The sequence below is a fragment of the Homo sapiens genome, chromosome 9, assembly GCF_000001405.40.
Source record: "Homo sapiens chromosome 9, GRCh38.p14 Primary Assembly".
Taxonomy (NCBI): domain Eukaryota; kingdom Metazoa; phylum Chordata; class Mammalia; order Primates; family Hominidae; genus Homo; species Homo sapiens.
Window position 1 is genome coordinate 130,398,084 of NC_000009.12, and position 22,849 is coordinate 130,420,932.

Below are 22,849 nucleotides of genomic sequence, written 5' to 3' on the forward strand. Positions count from 1 at the left end.
TTCAGGCTATAGTGAGCCATGATCACGCCACTGCACTCCAGCCTGGGTGACAGAGTAAGACTCCGTCTACAAAAAAAAAAAAAAAAAAAAAAAAAGTAAAACATGTGAAAGGATAAAATTCAAAATCACTAGAATCAGATGCCCCAGTCTCCTCCCCCTCCAACAGATCAGCTTGTGAGAGGTTGCTGTGGTGGGCCCTGGCCTCAGGTGGGGGCTGATGGGAGTGGAGGCCTGGAGGCTTCAGTCAAGGAAAGGCACTGAGGGGGTGCCAGGCTCAGGGATGGGGAAAGCCCAAAACACCCTGCTGGAAGCGCTGTCTCGGGGCTTTCTCCTGCCCTCTCCCTCTGTGCTCCCTCAGGGATGGGTGGAAGACAGTAGGCAGTGGCTTTGCCCCTGGGCACAGCCTCAGAGAGCCCCCAGCCCCTGTGCCCCCTGCACCTGTCTCCTGACCACTGTGCTCTCCCCAGAGCCTCCAGCCATCGCCCCCAGCCCCTCCAACCTGACCCTGACCGCCCACACCCCAGCCTTGCTGCCCTGCGAGGCCAGCGGCTCCCCTAAGCCCCTGGTGGTCTGGTGGAAGGACGGACAGAAGCTGGACTTCCGCCTGCAGCAGGGCGCCTACCGGTAACGAGCTGGACTTTGCGGTGGCTTCCTGAGACGCACAGGGCGGGGAGGCACTCTCTTCTCACGGGGGCATGGGGCAGGGACGGGGCGGGGTGTGCTCAGGTCTCACCGGAGTCAGGACCAGAACTTGTGTCTCAACTTTGGGGATCAGAGAGTCTTCACACTGAGATAGGGGTGAGGGCACTGGGGATATACAGCTAAACAGAGACATCTGGGCTTTATTTATATCCACCAGAGTCACTCTTGTCTAAAAACAAAACATGAACTGGGTGTGGTAGCTCACACCTGTAGTCCCAGCACTTTGGGAGGCTGAGGTGGGAGGATTGCTTGAGGCCAGGAGTTCAAGACCAGACTGGGCAACATAGTGAGACCCCATCTCTACAGAAAATTTAAAAATTAGTAGAGTATGGTGGTGGGTGTCTGTGGTCCCAGCTACCTGGGAGGCTGAGATGGGAGGATCCCCTGAGCCTGGGAGGTTGAGGCTGCAGTGAGCTGTGATTGTGCCACTGCACTCCAGCCTGGGCAACAGAACGAGACTGTCTCAAAAAAAAAAAAAAAAAAAAGAATGTCCATTTTTAAAAATTGGAAAACCAATGTACAGAGAAACAGGGATGAAAACGAAAATCACTCAAAAATCCACCAGCTAGACCTGTGGGGCAGAAACTTCTAGAAGACATTTCTAGAGTCAGGGCTGGAGGTCAGATACAGGAAGGGGAAATGGGCGTGAGACCCCCACAGCCAGAAAGCCACAGCTGGTCTCTGTCAGCCCAGCAGCCACTTGGCCGTCTGTCTGTCCACCCCAGGCTCCTGCCCTCCAACGCCCTGCTCCTCACGGCCCCCGGCCCCCAGGACTCAGCCCAGTTTGAATGCGTGGTGAGCAATGAGGTGGGCGAGGCCCACAGGCTCTACCAGGTGACCGTCCATGGTGAGTCGGGGCAGAGGTGGAGGGGGACACCTGGGGTGGGGGCAGCGCCTTCCCGCTCTTGGGTGCTCTCCCTGCCAGCAGGGAATTGTGTGGCTTTTTCCTGTGCTGCACTGGACACCTCCTCCAGGAAGGTCTCTCAGATCCTGCTGGGCCACACTGGCATAACCCCAGCTCCAGCACAGTTCCTGGCACACGGGAGCTCACAGGAGAGGCCCCTCGCAAATCCAGAATGTTCTAAACTCAAATCTGACCTTGTCATCACCCCCGTTAAAAATCCCTCCCTCCACAGCTGCCCGCTGCCCCCAGGATAGAATGCAACAATTCAGCTGGACACACCAGGTCCTGTGTGGTCTGGCCCTGCCAGATTCAGCTCACGCCAGACCTGCCTCATTCCAGGGTCTAATCAAGCTGCTCAGCTTCTTGTTTCTTGCCTCAAGGGGTTTGCACACGCTGTTGCCTTTGCCGGGAACACTCTTCCCCTCACTCAGCAAACACCTGCTTTCCCTTCAGATCGCAGGTTAAATGCCACTTCCCCTGGAGGTCTCCTCTGGCCTCCCCTACTCCAAGTGGGAAACCCACGAGTAACCCCCTGTGAAGTTACTAGGCCAGGGTCTCTATAGAAAGCTGTATCCCACTGGGTGCAGTGGCATGTGCCTATGGTCCCAGCTACTCAGGAGGCTGAGACGGGAGGGTCGCTTGAGCCCAGGGAGTCCTGAGCTATAGTGCACTATGCTGATTGGGTGTTCGCACTAAGTTCAGCATCAATATGGTGACCTCCCGGGAGCGGGGGACCACCAGGCTGCCTAAGGAAGGGTGAACCTGCCCAGGTCAGAAACAGAGCAGATCAAGGCTCTCATGTTGATCAGCAGTAGGATCACACTTGTGATTAGCCACTGCATTCCAGCCTGGGCAACATACTGAGACCCCATCTCTGAAAAAATACACTTTTTTTTTTAAAGAAAAAAAACTATAGCCCCGTGCCCAGAAGGATGTGCTGAGTGGGCAAATGTGACTTCTCCCTCTGTTGCCACCTCCCTCCTTGGCCCTTTGTCACTGATGTCACCTTGTGTACTAGCTTTACCCCCTGGCCCTGTGGCCGTGAGTGCCCTGTGCCCGCCGGCAGGGCCTCAAGCCTTGTCTTGGGTTTTAGTGCCTCCCACCATTGCCGATGACCAGACAGACTTCACCGTGACCATGATGGCACCTGTGGTCCTCACATGTCACAGCACGGGTATACCAGCTCCGACCGTGTCCTGGAGCAAGGCAGGCGCCCAGCTAGGAGCTCGGGGGAGTGGCTATCGTGTCTCACCATCGGGTAAGTAAGGGTAAGCCACAGAGAGAGGCAGCTGAGGGGAGACTGGGAGAGCAGGCAGAGGGGGTGAAAGGTCACATGGCGGAATAGGATGGAACTATCTGGCCTGGCACTGCCTCTCCTGGCTGTGTGACCTGGGAGGACCCTCTCGCCCTCTCTGAGCTCCATATTCTCCTCCATGCTCTGCAGTGTTGAGACCCATCAGTGGTTCCCCAAGGCCCTCTGGCATACAAGTGCTATTTCATGGCAAAATAAGAAAAATAATAGCTCCCTGGGAGTTTTTGTAAACCTGGTTTAATCCCATCAGAAAGATCCTCCTGTATTCTGAAGTTATCTTTGGTGTTGAAACTTCCTTTTCTTGATGATATTAAGATAATAGTACATGGTGATTTTTTTTAAGATGGAGTCTCGCTCTGTTGCCCAGGCTGGAGTGCAATGGAGCTATCTCCGCTCACTGCAGCCTCCACCTCCCAGGTTCAAGGGATTCTCCTGGCTCAGCTTCCCAGGTAGCTGAGATTACAGGCACCTGCCATCATGTAGGCATGATTTCTGTATTTTTGTAGAGATGGGGTTTCACTATGTTGGCCAGGCTGGTCTTGAACTCCTGACCTCAGGTGATCTGCCCTTCTCAGCCTCCCAAAGTGCTGGAATTACAGGTGTGAGCCACCATGCCTGGCCTAACATGGTGATTTTTAAAATGTCTTTGCCTGTCAAAATAAAACGTTGGAAGCTTTATGGAGAGTCTCCAAATTTATTTGTTAGTTCGTTAGCGAAACACTAAAGTCTAGGAACCAGTGGCCAAACCTGTGATTTTCAAACTCTTCTGAAGCAATAGAACTTCCTTCCAGGCCAGGCGCAGGGACTCACGCCTGTAATTCCAGCACTTTGGGAGGCTGAGGCAGGAGGATTGTTTGAAGCCAGGAGTTTGAGACCAGCCTGGGCAACACAGCAAGACCCCATGTCTACAAACACATTTTTAAAAATTAGCTGGGTGCGGTGGTGCATGCCTGTGGTCCCAGCTGCTTGGGAGGCTGAGGTGGGAGGATTGCTTGAGTGTAGGAGTTCAAGGATGCAGTGAGCTATGATTGCACCACTGTACTCCAGCCTGGGCAACAGAGTGAGACTCTGTCTCAAAACAAAATACAAAACAAAAACTTCTTTCCAATAAGTGTAATAAGTGGTAACAGCAAAGTCCAACAAGTGAAACAAACCACAGTTCTGGTTCCATCTGGGGCTGGGACAGGGGCTGTGGGTGGGCCAGAGTGCCGTGGGCCTTGCTTCCTTCCCCCACCCAGCAGGCCCCCAGGGGCCCACGGAGCACAATTTAGAACCCTCGTCACTTGACTGCCAAGGTGCAGCCTGCAGTCTGGGAAGGTTAAAATGGTGTTCACTGAGTAACCAAGGCTAAGGCCAGGAGGATAAAGGGAGGAGAGGAGGCAGTAATCCTGGGAGGCTTCCTAGAGGAGGTGAGTTTTTAGCAGAGCAAGGTGAGAATGACAGGATGTGGAACTGTGAGTGGGGGATTACAGGCAGGGGAGTGGCAGATCCTGGAACTTCACAGCCTAAAGGGTCTAGAGACCATCTTGTCTGATTCTTCATTGTGCACATGGGGAAACTGAGGTCCAGAGAGTGGAAGGAACTCGCCCATGTCTCTGCTTTGGGCAGGGCACAGAGGCAAACCTAGATGTCAGGTTCCCATACAGTCACATCCCCCAGACTGTTTGTAAATGGGCAAAGGAGGCAGGTTGAGTGACCAGAGACAGAGTGGGGTTGTGTAGGAGCCCTGCCACCTCCATCCCTGGGGACCTCTGTCCTGATCCCCTCACCCTGATTCCCACCAACAGGCGCCCTGGAGATCGGGCAGGCCCTCCCCATCCACGCAGGCCGCTACACCTGCTCAGCCCGCAACTCTGCCGGCGTAGCCCACAAGCACGTCTTCCTCACTGTGCAAGGTAAGGGTCCGTGGTCCAGACCCCAGAGTTCCTAGGGCCAGGGGAGCAGGTGGAGAGCCAGAGGCAGGTGGGGCTCAGGATGGAGGTGAGGCCCCGGGTCTCAGAGGCCCCGACCTGTCTCCCATGGGATTCTTTGGCAGGAAAAGAATCAGCCATGGCGTCCTTGTTGCTGTGGCCGATGTTTCTAGAACCCCCGTTCTCCTTAGAGGCCTCTCTCTCTGATGCTCCGAGGCCCGCTGGTTGGAGGAGTTGTGTTAAGGACATTCTCAGGGCCCTCTGCACCCCCGTCCTTTGTAGCCTCCCCGGTGGTGAAGCCGCTGCCCAGCGTGGTTCGGGCAGTGGCAGAGGAGGAGGTGCTGCTGCCCTGCGAGGCCTCAGGCATCCCCCGGCCGACCATCACCTGGCAGAAGGAAGGGCTCAACGTCGCTACTGGTGAGGGCCCCTGGCAGCCAGCCTGGGAAGGGAAGAGAAGAGCGTGGGTCTGGGCAGGGGGGGAGTCCTGCTTCCTGCCCTGGGAGACCCCGCAGACCTGCTGAGAGGTCCTGGAAAGCCCCTGGCCTGCCCAGATACGCCCCCACCCTTGCTCTGGCCTCCCCCTCCCCAACCCTTCTCCTGTCACCATGGCCTGAGATGCCATCCGAGCACTCGGTGGCTGAGGTGGGAGGTCGGGAGGGGGCAGCTGAGCTGGGCTCAGGGTCAGGCTTCTTGGCTCCTTCTGTCCCTTGGTCATTCTGTGACCCCAGCAAGTCATTTGCTGCCTGTGAGACAGAATAGCCCAATCTGCCCACCTCGGGGGTCCCCAGTCCCAGTTCCCAGGCCCCCGATTTTCTTCTTCCTCGTTCAGGAGTGAGTACCCAGGTCCTACCAGGCGGACAGCTGCGGATTGCCCATGCCAGCCCAGAGGATGCTGGAAACTATCTCTGCATCGCTAAGAACAGTGCGGGCAGTGCCATGGGGAAGACGCGGCTGGTGGTGCAAGGTGGGAGTGAGGACGGGGCCGAGGTGGGCCCTGGCAACTGAGGGGCTTTGAGGCTTCTGCAAGCTTCTCCCTTCTCTGCCTGGCAGGGCACACTGCTTATAGTTCTAGAAGGAATTAAGGGGAAAACATCTCTCATTGTGCGCCTGAGTTCTGGTTTCAGACATAAATTCCCATCCCCTCTGCCTTCTCTCTGGCCCTGTGGAACACAAGTCTAGCATCCCTCATTCATTCTGGTTTCCAGTAGCTGTAGCCTCTCTGGCCCTGCTCTGGCACACACACAATTACATGTGCCCTTCCCTTAGTTTGATCAATCATTGGCTTCAAAGATCAGGTGGCATCACTGGCCAAAAATCTGCAAAGTCTGCTGGGAATATTCAGTATGGGCCGGTCATGTCTTGGCCCCAGTGGCCTGCTTTGTGGTATCTCAGTGGCCATCCCCGCCCGCAGCTATGTAGGGCTGGAGTCAGACTCTGGCTGTGAACTCAGAGGGGCTCCTGGCTCCAGGATTCCTCCGCTTCTTGTCCAGCGTGCTCCTCTCCCCTGGGACCTGTAGCATCGCTGGTCACCAGACCAGCCAGACACCAAGCCAGTGACCCTCACTCTGCCCAGCATAGCTCCTCCGCAGGGATGCTCTGTGACAGCTGCCCTGCTTTTGTTCCTGGAGGTGGCCTAGTACAAGGTCCAAGTGGACCCTGCCCAAGGCCTCTGTCCTGCGGCTTTTAGTCTTCTGTGTGTGTGCGTGTATATGTGCATGCATGTGTGTGTGTGTGTACACGTGTGCACAGGTGCAATGGAATCACCGTCACAGCTACACCAAACTCAGGGAGTCCCCAAATCATCCTGAGCACGGGCAATGGCCTATGACTAGGGAGTTGGAGGGGGCAGCTGATGGCCAGGGAGGGCTGAAGGGCTGGGCCAAAGGCCAAGGGCCCCAGGATGGTGTCAGCCGCCTCCCTGAGCCCCGGTTCCGAGTGGGCCTCCCTCTGCCCGCAGTCCCACCAGTGATCGAGAATGGCCTCCCAGACCTGTCCACCACCGAAGGCTCCCACGCCTTCTTGCCTTGCAAGGCGAGGGGCAGTCCTGAGCCCAACATCACCTGGGACAAAGATGGCCAGCCTGTGTCGGGCGCCGAGGGGAAGTTCACCATCCAGCCTTCTGGGGAGTTGCTGGTGAAGAACTTGGAGGTGAGGCACTGCCCCAAGGGGCACAGCAGGGAATAATGGCTGAGACCCCTGTTTGTCATGCTCTGCGCTGAGCACTATGCAGCCTTTAACCCTGGGAGCCTGGGGAAATCAGTGTCACCATCCCGGGTACAGACAGCCAGAACTGAGGCTCAAAGTGTACCTAGTTGTCCACCATTGCCAAGAGGCAGAACCCAAATTTGAACCTGGACCTCGGTAGCCAGCTCCTGGGGAAGGGAGGGAACTCGGACTAGGGCTCAGGGATACGGTGATGACTTTGTGTCCTGAAAGTCTACCCAGTTGTTGTCAACCATGCGTTGGCATTAACCGTCCTCTGGGTTTTGGGGAGTGTTGAGCCAGGGGTATGGGTGGGACCCCCAACCTCCTTCCCCTCAGCACTCATCAGATTCTGCAATTTTATGATGAGACCCTCTCCAGATGGGTTCAGTGGACACACCTAGAGGGGTCAGAGGCATTGGACCCGGCCACCCAGGGAGCCTGGGGGTGCAGTGGTGAGCGCACCGGCCCTGCTTGAATGCACCATAAAACTCCTCCTCTTGGAGCCCCTGTTGGGCCCTCTATCAGGGCACCAAAAGCAAGGCCTGCAGTGCAGGTCAAGTTCTGAGGACAGGGCAGCACACAGTAGGTGTTTGGTAAACACTGGCTATTGCGATCATGCAGTCAGGGCTGGGGTTATGAAGCAGTAGAGCATGTGAATGCTGCAGGGCTGGGCAGGGGCACGGTGGTGATGCTGACCCGTTTGCTAGCTGTGTGACCTTGGGCAAGTCACTTCCCCTCTCTGGGCTGGATGCTCCATGAGAACCTTCAAGGGTCAGGGGCATCCTGACCTATGCCGAGGTGGGGCAGTTCTCCGGCCAACCCCTTTCTTTGCTCACAGGGCCAGGACGCAGGCACCTATACCTGTACCGCTGAGAACGCCGTGGGCCGGGCCCGCCGCCGCGTGCACCTCACCATCCTGGTACTGCCTGTGTTCACCACCCTGCCTGGGGACCGCAGCCTGCGCCTTGGGGACAGGCTGTGGCTTCGCTGTGCAGCCCGGGGCAGCCCCACCCCTCGCATTGGCTGGACTGTCAACGACCGGCCAGTCACAGGTCTGGGTCTGCTGGGCATGGGTGGGACAGAGAGCCAGGACACCGGGAGGTTAAGAAGGGAGGGCAGGTGGGGAGACCCAACCTAGTGGAAAGGAAGAGGTTGTCAGCCAGCCCTGTTGGTTCTGGGTCTTCCAACGTGGCCCTATGTAGGGGGACAGGGCAAACCCAGCTGTGGCCATATGTGACAAGCCATATATCAGAGCTGGCAAGAGGCCACCTGAGAAGACTCAACCCAGAGACCTCAGGGCCAGGAAGGGGAGGCCTGTGTTCTAGTCCAGAGCTGCTGCTCCCATTGTGGGACCCTCAGCAAACCCCTTTTGCTGGGGGCCCGTGGGGACTCTGTCCTCCTACCGGAAACCCAGGTGATGTCTAGGGAGACACAGGGCCTGTGGAGTACCTGCTGGGTACTCAATGTTTGCTGAATTGATAAATTGCTAAGTCCCCTCCACTGCAAAATGATACTTTCCTACATTAGGATATGACATCACACATTCCTAACTCTGAGTCCCCAGGTGTGGAATACCCGTGCTCACCTGTGGTGAAGGCTTTGCTCGGCTCCACCACTTCCTGGGGAGGGACCTTGGGCAGGTATAATAGTTCAGCCTGTCTGAGCGCCGCTCTCCATCTGTCAAATGGACATAACCAGGGGTCCTGAGGACAGAATGACAATGGAGGGGCCGTGCTCGGCACAGGCCTGGCCCGGAGTAGATGCCCAATTGATGGTACTGCTTGTCTGTATTCCTCTCCTAGAGGTGATGGCCCACCCCAAAGGAAAAGTTCATTATTAGAATCCTTCTCTCGGCTGGGCGCGGTGGCTCACGCCTGTAATCCCAGCACTTTGGGAGGCCAAGGCAGGTGGATCACCTGAGGTCAGGAGTTCGAGACCAGCCTGGCCAACATGGTGAAACCCCATCTCTACTAAAAATACACAATTAGCTGAGCGTGGTGGCACATGCCTGTAATCCCAGCTACATGGGAGGCTAAGGTAGGAGAATCGGTTGAACCTGGGAGGTGGAGGTTGCAATGAGCTGAGATTGCGTCATTGCACTCCAGCCTGGGCAACAAGAGTGAAACTGTCTCAAAGAAAAAAAAAAAAGAAACCTTCTCTCTAGAAATCATGGCAGTGTTTCAGTAAGTGTCCTGTGCTGAGAGGCCCCCAAAAACCTGCCCTTGACCGTTTATCAAACACACAGTGTGCACTGGAAGATGGTAGAAGGCAGGTTCATTAACCGCAGCCTCCAGTGTGGCCTGTGCCTCCCAGGAACGTGTCTGATTTGATCAACCTTCACCCGGGACTCCCATCTGTTTCTGCATTTTTATTAAGTTCCTGCAGGTACCCAGGCACCAGGGAAGTGTTTAGGGCAGGAGTTCCCTGCACCCGACTTCTCTTTCTCCACCACAGAAGGGGTGTCTGAGCAGGATGGAGGCAGCACGCTGCAGCGGGCCGCTGTCTCCAGAGAAGACAGCGGGACCTATGTCTGCTGGGCGGAGAACAGAGTGGGCCGCACGCAGGCGGTCAGCTTCGTCCACGTGAAGGGTAGGGCACATTCCCCAGGTGGCTTCTCTCTCAAGACCTCCAGTCTATTGGGACCCAATCTATTGGTTTCCTAAGAACCCAGCCTCCTGTCCTCTGAACTAGTGGTTCCCCACCCTGGCTGCATGTTAGAATCCCCTGGGGGACTTTAAATTCTGAAGTCCAAGTTCTACTTCCAACTCTGTAAACCAGCCTCTCTGGGGTGAGGCCTAGGCATCGGTATTTTTGACACTCCCAAGACGACCCTGGCTGCAGGTAGAATTGGAATCTGACCAATTGCCCTACAGCACTACCTGCAGCTGGATGGTGCCAGGGTTGGAGGAGAGCATGGAGGCCAGGGCATCCTGGCAGAAAAATGCCAGAAGCTTGCCAGCCAGCCAGTTGTCCCCTATGACCTACTCATCCACCAGGAGTAGCACAGGAGCCCTCGGTGACAACGTGTCTTAGTTTGCACAACCTCAGGATGGGTGGGGCTGGATGGGGGGAATGAACAGCCCCAGGCACCAAAAGAGAACTGCAGCTTTTGGTAGATCCAACCTCAGGAAACCAGGAAGGATATAAGCCAGTCCAGAGCATCGAAGAGTGTTTTGAGATTAGCATGAATCTCATAGCGTTGCTTTGTACAACAGAGGTGTCTAGGGTTCTTGTTTTTTTATAGTTATTGATTTCCAAAGTACCTGGCAGGTACTCCGCTGCTAGTGTAATCCATCTGTGAAAGAGAGTATATGACACGCGTAACACTGCCTTCCTGCCTGTGCCCATCTCAGGCATCACTAATCAATCACAGCACCATTCTCATTCAGCTTCAAATGCTTCTCAGCACAGTTCTTGGAAAGTCTTTGCCAGTCTTTGTGACTTGACCCATGACATGAACACTGTTTGCTGTCCCTGATGCACTGACTAAACACAACCATGCTGTGCTAGCAGAAGCCTCTGGAGGCCCCTGGAGGCAGGAGTTGGGCAGTCCTTTGGGGTTTATGGGAGGCTGAGCCAGCAGGCAACCTCTTTTCTGACAACTTGCTCGATGTCACCCCATGCAGAGGCTCCTGTCCTACAAGGGGAGGCTTTCTCCTACCTGGTGGAACCTGTAGGAGGCAGCATTCAGCTAGACTGTGTGGTGCGTGGAGACCCAGTGCCGGACATCCACTGGATCAAAGATGGCCTTCCACTGCGGGGCAGCCACCTCCGGCACCAGCTGCAGAATGGCTCGCTGACCATCCGCAGGACTGAGGCAAGGCGGGGCCTGGCACCTTGGGTGGGGCCACTGAGGACAACTCTACGCTTTTTCAGATTGTTCAAGAGGGTTCTTCCTATTGCCCCCTCTGCTTCTGCAGTGTACAAAGCACCTCCCTGCCCATTCCTCAGATATCCTCCCACTACCACCAATATTGACCTCCAGCCAACTGGGCTTTTCCATTCCTCCGTCATCCACCCATTCAATGGAGCGAATTAGTTCTACCTCATAGGATTGTAATTAGAAATCAGTGAGATGTCTCATACCCATTATTTAAGAGTGATCTGTGGGTAATGCCTCCAAAATGTTGTTATTAACAACCTCAGGGGGTAGGGTAGGCAGGTAATAGTGCTCCCTATTTACAGACGAAGACACTGAAGTTCAGAGAGGCCCACAACCAATAAGTGCAGGAGGCAGCGCCCCCACCCCCAGGTCTCCTGCCTCAGGCCCCGTGCTGTTTCCAAAGCCTTGGGCCCTGGGGCAGCCCCTCTCAACTTCCCTTTTGTGTCTCAAGTTCTGGTGATTGTGCAGAAATCCCCAAGTCAGTCCTGACTCAAGTTCATCTTAGGGGCCTTGATCTCACCCATTTGGGAGCCTTTCTCTGGGTAGTAATGATAATAGGACTAGTAATAAGAGCAGTAGTAAGAGCAGTGGTAATAATGGCTCCTGTTACCCAAGTACTAACTGTGGGCCAGGCACGGGGCCTTGCACTTAGCAAGCATTATTCCATGTGATGCTTATAAGATCCTAGCAGTTATCACTCCCATTTTACAGAAGGGGTAACTGAGGCTCCAGAGGCATGAAAATGTCCTAAGTAATGGGCTGAGGGCAGTAAGCAGTGGGGCTGGGATTCAGTCCCATGTTGGTCTGACCTCCAAACCTACACTCTTAACTTTGTGCCATGCTATCCCCCCCAGTCCCTTGGGTGTGGCCCCCCAGATACCATCTTCTGGGAGTGGACGTGGCCTCAGGCTGCCCCAGGCCCATCTGATGGTGGCGCTGCCACTCAGAAGTGATGTGAGCCAGCGCGCCACCTGAGTTCCATCACATATCCATGGGTCACCTGTTAGGGAAACGCTGCAAACGATCTCCCTTCTGGAAGACTCACTTTGCACACTGGCACAATAAATGCCCTGAGAGGTCCTGCAGTTCAGACTGCCATCCTGTTCATACAACAGAGGTGTCTCATGTTCTTGTTTTCCTATAGTTATTGATTTCCAAAGTACCATAACATGTTGTCAACTCAATGTCTCCCAAACTTACTTGACCATGGAACCCTGTTCTCCAAGGAGTCTCAAATAATGTGCCATGGGACAGTAAGATTTCAACGTACACAGTTTGGAAGAGGTGGATCTACACCATGCTTTTCCAGCAAGTTGTTCCACCTAAGGCAACAAGGACCGTAGTCACAGCCCCCTGTTTTCGGGTGTGAAAAGGGGCTGGATTCTCTTTGCATGTCTGCTGACAAGTGGTCACAGAGGCCCTTCTGATGCTCTGCGGGGGATCAGGTGCCCCTGGCTGGTTCACAGCCTAAGCCCCTTGCTGGCTGGCTGCCCTCAGTCCCCTACCCAACTGTCTGAGCCACTCATCTTCTTCTCTGAGCACCATGCCTCCTCTCCTGTGCCCACTTGCAGAGGGACGATGCGGGACGGTACCAGTGCCTGGCAGAGAATGAGATGGGCGTGGCGAAGAAAGTGGTGATCCTCGTCCTGCAGAGTGAGTCTCGGCCTCAGCAGAGTGGGGACGTGGGAAGTGTGCTCGGGGACAGCGGTGGCGTGTGCAGCCTAGAGGGCAGACGGCAGGGCTGGGACTTGGAATTCTTTCATTAATACTTACTTGGAACACACACTGAATCCTACCAAATGTTTCCCAAATGTGGGGTGACTGAGACTCAGGACTGAGCTAAAGAAAACCTGGCAACCTGGGCCTGGGGGAGCTGGGCATTTAAAACTCAGACCAGCCGTCAAGATCACCGCGACAGCTCTCGCATGTGCCAAGCAGCTCGTAGTTTACCAGGCGCTGTTTGAGCCTCAGAATAACACTGTGAAGTTGTCTCAATAGGGATTCTGTAGAAAATGTTTTATTGAAGATGAACACCTGTGGAGAAGAGCCAGGATCCTAAGTGCAGAGCTCATGAATTTTTACAATGCGAACCCACCCAGTTAACCAGCAACCAGATCAAAGAAATAGGACAGTGCCGGCTCCCAGCCTCCAGCATGCCCACCTCTGCTTACTGCCCCCTGCCCCAATAATCACTGTCCTGGATTCTGCCTCTTTAAAAAAAAAAACAACAAACTTTATTGAGTTATAATTTGCATACCATAAAATTCACCCGTTCATGCAATGCAATATTATTTAACCTTAAAAAGGAAGGAAATTCTAGGGCTGGGCTCGGTGACTCACAGCTGTAATCCCAGCACTTTGGGAGGCCAAGGCGGGTGGATCACCTGGGGTCTGGAGTTCAAGAACAGCCTGACCAGCATAGTGAAACCCTGTCTCTACTAAAAATACAAAAATTAGCTGGGCGTGGTGGCACGCCTGTAATCCCAGTCATTCAGGAGGCTGAGGCAGGAAAATCACTTGAACCCAGGAGGCAGAGGTTGCAGTGAGCCAAGATCGTGCCATCGCACTCCAGCCTGGTTGACAGGCAAGACTCAATCTCAAAAAAAAAAAAAAAAAAAAGAACAAAAGGAATGCAATGCAATTCTGACACAGGCTACAACATAGATGAACCTTGAGGTCATTATGCGAAGTGGAAAAAGCCGGTCACAAAGAAACAAACACTGTATGATTCTGTTTATATGAGGGGCCTAGAGTGGCCAAAAGCATAGAGACCCAAAGTAGTATGGAGCTTGCCAGGGGCTGCAGGGAGGGGAGAAGGGGGAGTTAGAATTTAATGAGTCCGGAGTTTCAGTTTAGCAAGAGAAAAAAGTTCTGGAGATTGTACAATGTCAAATACTCAACACTACTGAAGTGTACACTTACAAATGGTTCAATGATAAATTTTATGTAATGTATTTTTTTTACAACTATTATTGTTACTAATATTTTTTGAGACAGGGTCTGGCTCTGTTGCTCAGGCTGGAGTGCAGTGGTGCCATCTCTGCTCACTGCAACCTCCGCCTCCCGGGTTCAGGCGTTTCTCCTGCCTCAGCCTCCTGAGTGGCTGGGATTATAGGCGCACGCCACCACACCCGGCTAATTTTTGTATTTTTAGTAGAAACGGGGTTTCACCATGTTGGCCAGGCTGCTCTTGAACTTCTGACCTCAGGTGATCCACCTGCCTTGGCCCCCCAAAGTGCTGGGATTACAGGAGTGAGCCACTGCACCCAGGGCTTGTGCTCATTCTTAAATGGAGTTGTTTATTTTACTAGTGAGTTTCTAGAGTTCTTTACATAGCATGGATATAGCCCTTTATCAGATACATGATTTGCAAATATTTCTCCCAGTCTGTGGCTTGTCTTTGCATTTTCTTAATGGTGACTTTGAAGAGCAAAAGTGTTAAAATTTGGTGAAGTCCAAATTTATCCATTGTGTATTTTTTGAATCATGTATTTGGGGTTACACCTTTTAAAAATCTTTGCCTAATCTAAGGTCGTCTTTTTCTTTTCTTTTCTTTTCTTTCTTTCTCTTTTTTTTTTTTTGTTTTAATATTTTTGGGACAGAGTCTCACTCTGGTGCCAAGGCTGGAGTGCAGTGGCAAGATCTCAGCTCACTGCAACTTCCACCTCCAAGGTTCAAGCAATCCTTGTGCCTCAGCCTCCCAAGTAGCTGGGATTACAGGCACGCACCACCACACCCGACTAATTTTTGTAATTTTAGTAGAGACGAGGTTTCGTCGTGTTGCCCAGGCTGGTCTCGAACTCCTGGCCTCAAGCAATCCACCTGCCTCGGCCTCCTAAAGTGCGGATTACAGGCAGGAGCCACTGGGCCCTACATTTTCTTATACGATTTTTGTAGTTTTAGTTCTCACATTTAGGTCAGTGATCCATTTTGAGTTAATCTTTGTGTGGGGTAAGGGTCTAACTTCCTTTTTTGCATACGGATAGCCAATTGTTCCAGTACCATTTATGTTGATCTTGAATTTCTTTCAGTGATGTTTTGTAGTTTTGAATGTACTGGTCTTATATTTTTGTTAAATTGATTTTAAGTCTTTTTATTATTGTTGATGCTATTTTGGGTGGAATTGTTTTCTTTGATTTTTGGATTTGTAATTGCTAATATGTAGAGATACAGTTGAATTGATATCATATCATCTATGAATAGGGACAGTTTGACTATCTTTCTTTCAAATCTGCGTACCTTGAAGTTTTTTGCTTTGCCTTATTGCCTTGGTTGGACCCTCTGGTACACAGTTGAAGCAGCGAGAGCAGCCATCCTTGCCTGGTTCCCTGGTTTAGGTGGAAAGCAGTCAGTCTCTCACCATGGGGCGTGATGTTAGCTGTGAGTTTTTGTGGATGCCCTTTCTCAGGCTGAGGAAGTTCCCCTTTTGTACCTAGTGTGTTGAGAGTTTTTGTCATGCATGGAATAGGTTTGTGGTCCAGACAAGATGGTATAGATGCACTTCTCCCTATTTCTCTTGCTAAGGACAGCTAAACACCTTGGACTTTATATAGAAGCAAACATAAAGAGCCTCTGAAAAGTAGAGAAAAGAAGGAGGATAGACTACCGATCTTGGGACCTGAGGAGCAGCATGGTGGTGAATGCCCTGGTGTTTCTTTTTGTCCCTTATATCCTGGGCCGCATACTTGAGAAGCCAACAACCTGGAACCACCAGTGGGCTCAGACACACGCATGTGCACGTGCGCACACACACGCACACACACACACGGGGGCATGTGCACCTCAACGAGAGCCTGTCCTCTCTTGCAAAGGACTAGGAAAGGGACAGCATAGTAAGAAAGAAAACTTGTAAATAACAACCCCTAACTGGGTGTGGTGGCTCGTGTCTGTAATCCCAGCACTTTGGGAGACTGAGGCAGCCAGATCGCTTGAGCTCAGGAATTTGATATCATCCTGGGCAATATGGTGAAACCCCATCTCTACCAAAAATACAAAAAAAAAAAAAAAAAAATAGCTGGGCATGGTGGCGCACACCTGTAATCCCAGCTACTTGGGAGGCAAACACCATGAAAAACACCCCTGCCCCATCATCACACCAACTGGGAGCCTCTAACTTCCACCCTCGCCCCTGTACCGAGGCACTGCTCTCCCCACACTGGAGCAGGATGCTGTCAGGTGACACCTAATGAGGAGACAGAATTGTCACCACTGTCATCTACTGAGTGGGAAGCTCCTCCCCCGTGTGGCCAGGTGGGCAGCGAGGGTAGTGCCAGCAGAGGCCCGGTGTGGGCGTGCCTCCACCCATCCACCCATGCTCAGCAGTAATGAGGCACCCCTCCCTGTTCCGGGCTGACCATGGAAGCCTCATAGGGAACCTGGGCTTCCACGCTGACCTGGCGGAAGTGAGTGGCACCACTTTTTCTTGGCAGTTTTATAGCTCTGCCAAAAACGGAAGATTTAAATAAAAATCCGAGTCTTACAATACTGAAACTCACTTACACACCAGGAACAAGGAAAAGCTCAACTTACACACCAGGAACAAGGAAAATCTCAATGAAAGCAGACAACAGATGCCTACTGAGATAGTACAGATATCAGGTAATCTGATAAGGACTTTTTTTTTTTTTTTTAAGACAAGGTCTGACTCTGTTGCCCAGGCTGGAGTGCAGTGACATGATCAGGGCTCACTGCAGCCTGGGCTCGGGTGATCATCCCATCTCAGCCTCCCAAGTAGCTGGGACTGCAGGCACGTGCCACCACACCCGGCTAATTTTTATTTTTATGTATTTATTTTTTGTAGAGACAGGGTCTCCTTATGTTGCCTAAGCCAGTCTCAAACTCCTGGGCTCAAATGATCCACCTGCCTCAGCCTCCCAAAGTGGTGGGATTACAGGCATGAACCACTGTGCCTGACCAAGACTGAACTGTCACCACTGTCACCACTGAGTGGGAAGCCCCTCGCCTACACAGGCCGAGTGGGGAGCAATAAGCAGTGCCCCTCTCCCTCCCAGCCAGGATGGTGCCAGCAGAGCCCCACTTGAAGCGCCAACTCCCACCGATCCCCAGCAATAATGAGGCACCCTCCCTGTTCCCGGGTGTCCATGGAGGCCACGTGGGGAACCCGGACTTCCACTCTCATCTAGCAGAAGTGAGTGGCACCTCCTTCCCCTGGCAGTGTTCCAGGTCTGCTAAGATGGAAGATTTAAATAAGAGCCCAAATCTTATCATACTGAAACTCACTTATCATACCAGGAACAAGGAAAAATCTCAGCTTGAATGAGAACTGATACTCAACAGACACCAACTGAGATAGCACAGATGTTTGAGTCATCTGGTAAGGATTTCCTTTTTATTTTTTGATGGGGTCTTGCTCTGTCACCCAGACTGGAGTGCAATGGCACAATCACAGCTCACTGCAGCCTTGACCTCCTGGGCTCAAGCAATCCTCCCACTTCTCAGCCTCCCAAGTAGCTGGGACTGCAGGTGCATACCACCATGCCCGGCTACTTTATTTATTTTTTGTAGAGATGGGGTCTTGCTATGTTGCCCAGGCTAGCTGACAGGGATGCTTCTGTGAGCAGTTGTCAACATGCTTGAAACAAGTGAAAAAAACAGAAAATCTCAGCAAAACGTGGCTGTGGAGTAATTTGAAGTTCAGGCAGTTTTCAAGTTGGCCTCGGTTTACTGTCCTTTGTACCCCTCAGGTCTCCCCTGCACAGGTGCATATTTCCCACGATGGCCAGGGATTGTGGGGAGCCAATCCAGCCTGTCCGTGGCTCCTTCATTTCCAGGTTCTCGCCGTTCAGTTGCTGGCTGGGTCCCTGCTCTTCTCAGCCAGGGCCATGCCGCAGGCCAGCACAGCAGCCATTTCCCTTTTGGCTCCTACCAGTTTTGCCCCTTTTCCTGATGATATTTCTCAGGGCATACTTTCATCCTCTACTGCACATCAAGGCAGCCCCCAGGGGTGGCAAAAGCTGCTGTTTTTCACAGCCATCCCTAATAAAACCACTGTGATGGTCACGGTGGGGTAGGGATGGGCACAGCCCCAGGCAGGAGGGCCAAAGGCTTCCACTGTTCTTATCCAAAGTTCTAGAGGCTTTATTTTTTTTTTTTTTTTTTTTTGGAGACAGAGTCTCACTCTGTCACCCAGGCTGGAGTGCAGTGGCGCGATCTCGGCTCACTGCAACCTCCACCTCCCAGGTTCAAGAGATTCTCCTGCCTCAGCCTCCCAAATAGCTGGGATTACAGGCACCCACCACCTTGTCCAGCTAATTTTTGTAATTTTAGTTGAGACAGGGTTTCACCATGTTGGCCCGGCTGGTCTCAAACTCCTGACTTAAGGTGATCCACCCGCCTCGGCCTCCCAAAGTGTTGGGCTTACAGGCGTGAGTCACTGCGCCTGGCCTCGACCTTCATTTAAGTGGAATCACCCCACACGTGCTCTTGCGTAGACTCTTCTTTTGCACATCATAATTTGTGGCATTCGTCCATATTGTTCACGTGGAATTAGTTTATTGGTTCTCATTGCTGTGTGTTTTTCTGCTACATGGATGTACCACAGTTTATTCATGTATTCCACTCTAGGTTAGTTTCCAGTGATGGGCGGTTAAGAACAGGGCTGCTGTGACCTTACGCACGCCCTCCAGTGAACACGCACACACACCTGTGCTGGGGTATTCGTCCAGGAGCAGAAGCGCTAGGTCTCACAGTACACATGTGTTCCACTTTAGGACACACTGGCTGTGGTAGTATCTGATGAATGGCCTCCAAAGATATGTCCAGGTCCTAGTCCCCAGGGCCTGTGAATGTTTCCTTACTTGGAAAAGGAATCTTTGCAAATGTAATTAAGTTAAGGATCTTAAAGTGAGCACATTATCTCGGAGGCCCCTAAATGCTATCACAAGTGTTTTATTTATTTATTTATTTATTTAGAGATGGATTCTCACTCTGTTGCCCAGGCTGGAGTGCAGTGGCGCAATCTCGGCTACTGTAACCTCTGCCTCCCAGGTTCAAGCAATTCTCCTGTGTCAGCCTCTCAAGTAGCTGGGATTACAGGCACAGACCACCACACCTGGCTAATTTTTGTATTTTTTAGTAGAAATAGGGTTTCACCATGTTGGCCAGGCTCTTCTCAAATTCCTAGGTTCAAGCAATCCACCCACCTCAGCCTCCCAAAGTGCTAGGGTTACAGGCATGAACCACCATACCCAGCTGCAAGTATTGTTATAAAAGAGAGCCGGGGCCGGACATGGTCGCTCATGACTATAATCCTAGCACTTTGGGAGGCCGAGGAGAGTGGATCACCAGAGGTCGGGAGTTTGAGACCAGCATGATCAATATGGCAAAACCCCGTCTCTACCAAAAATACAAAAATTAGCCAGGCGTGGTGGCACACACCTGTAATCCCAGCTACTCAGGAGGCTGAGGCAGGAGAATCACTTGAAGCCGGGAGGCAGAGGTTGCAGTGAGCTGAGATCGTACCACTGCACTCCAGCCTAGGTAACAGAGTGAGACTCCGTCTCAAAAAAAAAAAAAAAACAAAAAAAAACGAGAGAGACAGAGAGCTGGGGTGGTGTGGCAGGGGAGAGAGAGAGAGAAGAGAAGGTAAAGTGGAGACAGAGGCAGAGGATGGATTGTTGCAGCCTCAGGCTAAGGAATGCTGGTGGGGCAGAAGCTGGAAGAGGTGAGGAATGGGCTCTCCCCCAGAACCTCTGGAGGAAGCAGGGCACCTTAACTTTGGCCCAGTGAGGCTAATGTGGGCCTCCTGGCCTCCACAGTTTCTCCTGTGTTTCTGCAGCTTGCTGCAGCATCTGCAGGAAGCGAACACACAGGCACACAGCGCCCCACCTTGGCTGAAGCACGTTGCATTTCCACCTCAGTGTGTGCGAGTTCTGCTTGTTCCGCAGCCTCACCAGCACTGGGCCTTTCCCATCCTTTCCATACTAGCCTTCCAGGAGGGTCTATAATAGTAAGTGGACAGGAAGCATCATCCCCATATTTCAGATGGGAACACTGAGGGTCAGGGAGTGACTTGGTGAGAGCCACCCACAGTAGGTGACAGAGCACGAGTTTGCCCATTTCATTGGCATCAACTAGAGGCAGTTCTGACAGATGGCCCCCCACTTCATTGGAAGCAGTCTAACTGTCCTATAGGAGAGGCTTCATTTAGCCAATCCCAATACAGTCAGGCAATAGAAGACTACCTAGCCACTAACAACAGATATGTAACTGCATGGAAAGGTAGTTACGATCTATTGCAGAGGAAAAATAAAAGCAGATGGCCGGGCGTGGTGGCTCATGCCTGTAACCCCAGCACTTTGGGAGACTGAGGCGGGTGGATCACTTGAGGTCAGGAGTTCAAGACCAACCTGGCCAATATGACGAAACCCCATCTCTACTAAAAATACAAAAATCAGCCAGGTGTGGTAGCAGGCGCTCTTGGGAGGCTGAGATGGGAGGATCGCTTGAACCCAGGAGGCAGAGATTGCAGTGAGCTGAGATCGCACCACTGCACTCCATCCTGGGGGACAGAGTGAGACTCCATCTCAAAAAATAAAATAAAAGCAGATACGGCCATATGATCATATTTTCATAAAGAAACAGTGTCTAGAGGGAAATATTCAGGAACGATGACTGGGTGGAAGGATCCTATGCAGTTCTTATTTTCTTCTTTCTGCTTCTCTGGATTTCCCAGTGTGTCTAAATGAACATATCCCACTTGAATATGCAAAAATAATTAAATGTTCCTAAAAGCCACCTGGGCCTCCCACAGGTGCTCCGGTGTTCCAGGTGGAGCCCCAGGACATGACAGTGAGATCTGGGGATGACGTGGCCCTGCGGTGCCAGGCCACTGGAGAGCCCACACCCACCATTGAATGGCTACAGGCGGGTCAACCCTTGCGGGCCAGCCGGCGGCTCCGGACCCTGCCCGATGGGAGCCTGTGGCTGGAGAACGTGGAGACTGGGGATGCAGGCACCTACGACTGCGTCGCTCACAACCTCCTGGGCTCTGCCACAGCCCGGGCGTTCCTGGTCGTGAGAGGTATGGGGCATCCCTGTCTGGACCTTCGTGGACAGAGGCAGGATCTCTTGCCGATGGGGATTGTGTGGTGCTTATGGGAGACCTGTCCCCTGCCTTGCCAGCTCCCCACCTCTTCCCTTTGCTTCATCACAAGCCCAGAATGAACCCCTACCCTGCCCGTTTACAGTTGGGTAAACTGAATCTTGGAGGTGCTGTTTGCTGCTCATCTTGGACAGGGAACACAGGTTGTTCCTGCTTAACTGGCACAAATGCATGTCCTCTGTCTGGACACTGCACAGCCCCTGGAAGCAGGCAGAGGAAGACAAGGGCATCCCCGGTGCCCTCGGGGGCTGCTGTGAAAAGTCTGTGCATCAGTGCATGTCCCAGGCATCACACATTGCCTGGCCGTGGCAGGTGGTTGGAAAAGAAATGGCTTCCTGGTGGGATGGACCCCTGCCATCTCGATTCCTCAATCAGCTCCCTTCTACCTTGGGTCAGACCAACTTTAAAATTAAGAAAAGATCTATCCTGAGAAACCACAGTAAATGGATTCAGACCTGCATAAAGGCAAGTCATAAGATATTATTTCTGTGGCCTGTGCCTCTGAAGGGAACACTCCATATATGTGGGGATGTGTCCCCTTCCCTGTACCTGGCAGACATCACTAATCTATCACCACATGGGAACACTCCCTATGTGTGGCGATGCATCTCCCTCGCTGTCCCTGGCAGACATCACTAATCTATCACCACATGCGTTGGCAGAATCTTTCTCCAATGAGCCCTCCCAGGCAGCGCCTCTCAGCTAATTGGAATTGGGACTTGACACTTGGCCACCTGGAAATCCACGTGAAACCCACTGCCAACCAAATGTGGGACCCTTTCTGGCCGTTGCTCTCATTATCTCCCACAGGCCGGGGCAGGGTACCAACCTATGCAGCTCTGAAAGTTCAGCGGTTCTCTGACCCCCCAGCCAGAGATGCAGTCTCAGAGTTAGCCTTGGGTCTAAGCAGACCCCCATGTATTTCAGGGCTTCGTCCCACTTCTTTTTTTTTTTTTTTTTTTTTTTTGAGACGGAGTCTCTCACTCTTGTTGCCCAGGCTGGAGTGCAGTGGTGCAATCTCGGTTCACTGCAAGCTCTGCTCCCCGGGTTCACACCATTCTCCTGCCTCAGCCTCCCAAGTAGCTGGGACTACAGGCACCCGCCACCATGCCCGGCTAGTTTTTTGTATTTTTAGTACAGATGGGGTTTCACCGCGTTAGCCAGGATGGTGTCTATCTCCTGACCTCGTGATCCGCCCATCTCGGCCTCCCAAAGTGCTGGGATTACAGGCGTGAGCCACCGCGCCCGGCCCGTCCCACTTCTTACCCTCTCCTGTTGGCAGGCCCCAGTCCCAACCACAGAGCTATGTACATGGCCTTTGTATTTGTTCTGTAGGGCTACTGGTAAAAAAACAAAACAAAACAAAACAAAACAAAACACCACAAGCTGGAGGCTTAAGCCACACTGATTGTCTCATAGTTCTGGAGGCTGCAAATCCAGGATCACACTGTCAGCAGCCCTGGTTTCTTCTGAACACTGTGGGGAGGATCTGGTCTGGGTCTCTCTCCCAGGGTCTTGGTGGTGGTCCTCGGCATTCTGTGGCTTGTCGAAACATCACCCCCACCTCTGCCTTCATCTTCCCTGTGTGTGTCTACACTTCCCTATTTATAAGGACACAGTCATGTTGGATTAGGCCTGCCCTAATGACCTCATTCTAACTTGACTTACTCTATAAAGACCCTATCTTCAAATAGGGTCACATTCTGAGGTCCTGGGGGTTAAGACTTCAACGTATGAATTTTGGGTGGTGTGGTAGCATTCAATCCATAACCCAGCCTCCTTATTTTTTTTTAATAGAAACAAATATTCT

The 22,849-nt window shown here is 52.5% G+C and overlaps 1 protein-coding gene and 1 pseudogene across 7 annotated transcripts in view; both read left to right on the top strand.

Annotated features, from left to right (window-relative positions):
• HMCN2 (hemicentin 2) overlaps positions 1-22,849 on the top strand; it is a 168,364-nt gene that overhangs the window by 132,324 nt on the left and 13,191 nt on the right. For all 7 annotated transcript variants that reach the window (NM_001291815.2, XM_011518466.3, XM_011518465.3 and 4 more), the window contains 12 exons: positions 468-624; positions 1,428-1,549; positions 2,700-2,864; positions 4,706-4,813; positions 5,111-5,245; positions 5,658-5,792; positions 6,786-6,976; positions 7,872-8,085; positions 9,488-9,622; positions 10,660-10,850; positions 12,488-12,569; positions 20,689-20,958. In NM_001291815.2, the coding sequence (NP_001278744.1) occupies positions 468-624; positions 1,428-1,549; positions 2,700-2,864; positions 4,706-4,813; positions 5,111-5,245; positions 5,658-5,792; positions 6,786-6,976; positions 7,872-8,085; positions 9,488-9,622; positions 10,660-10,850; positions 12,488-12,569; positions 20,689-20,958 (1,905 nt within the window). The remainder of the gene's footprint in view (positions 1-467; positions 625-1,427; positions 1,550-2,699; positions 2,865-4,705; positions 4,814-5,110; positions 5,246-5,657; positions 5,793-6,785; positions 6,977-7,871; positions 8,086-9,487; positions 9,623-10,659; positions 10,851-12,487; positions 12,570-20,688; positions 20,959-22,849) is intronic.
• On the top strand, positions 2,186-2,482 carry RN7SL665P (RNA, 7SL, cytoplasmic 665, pseudogene; annotated as a pseudogene).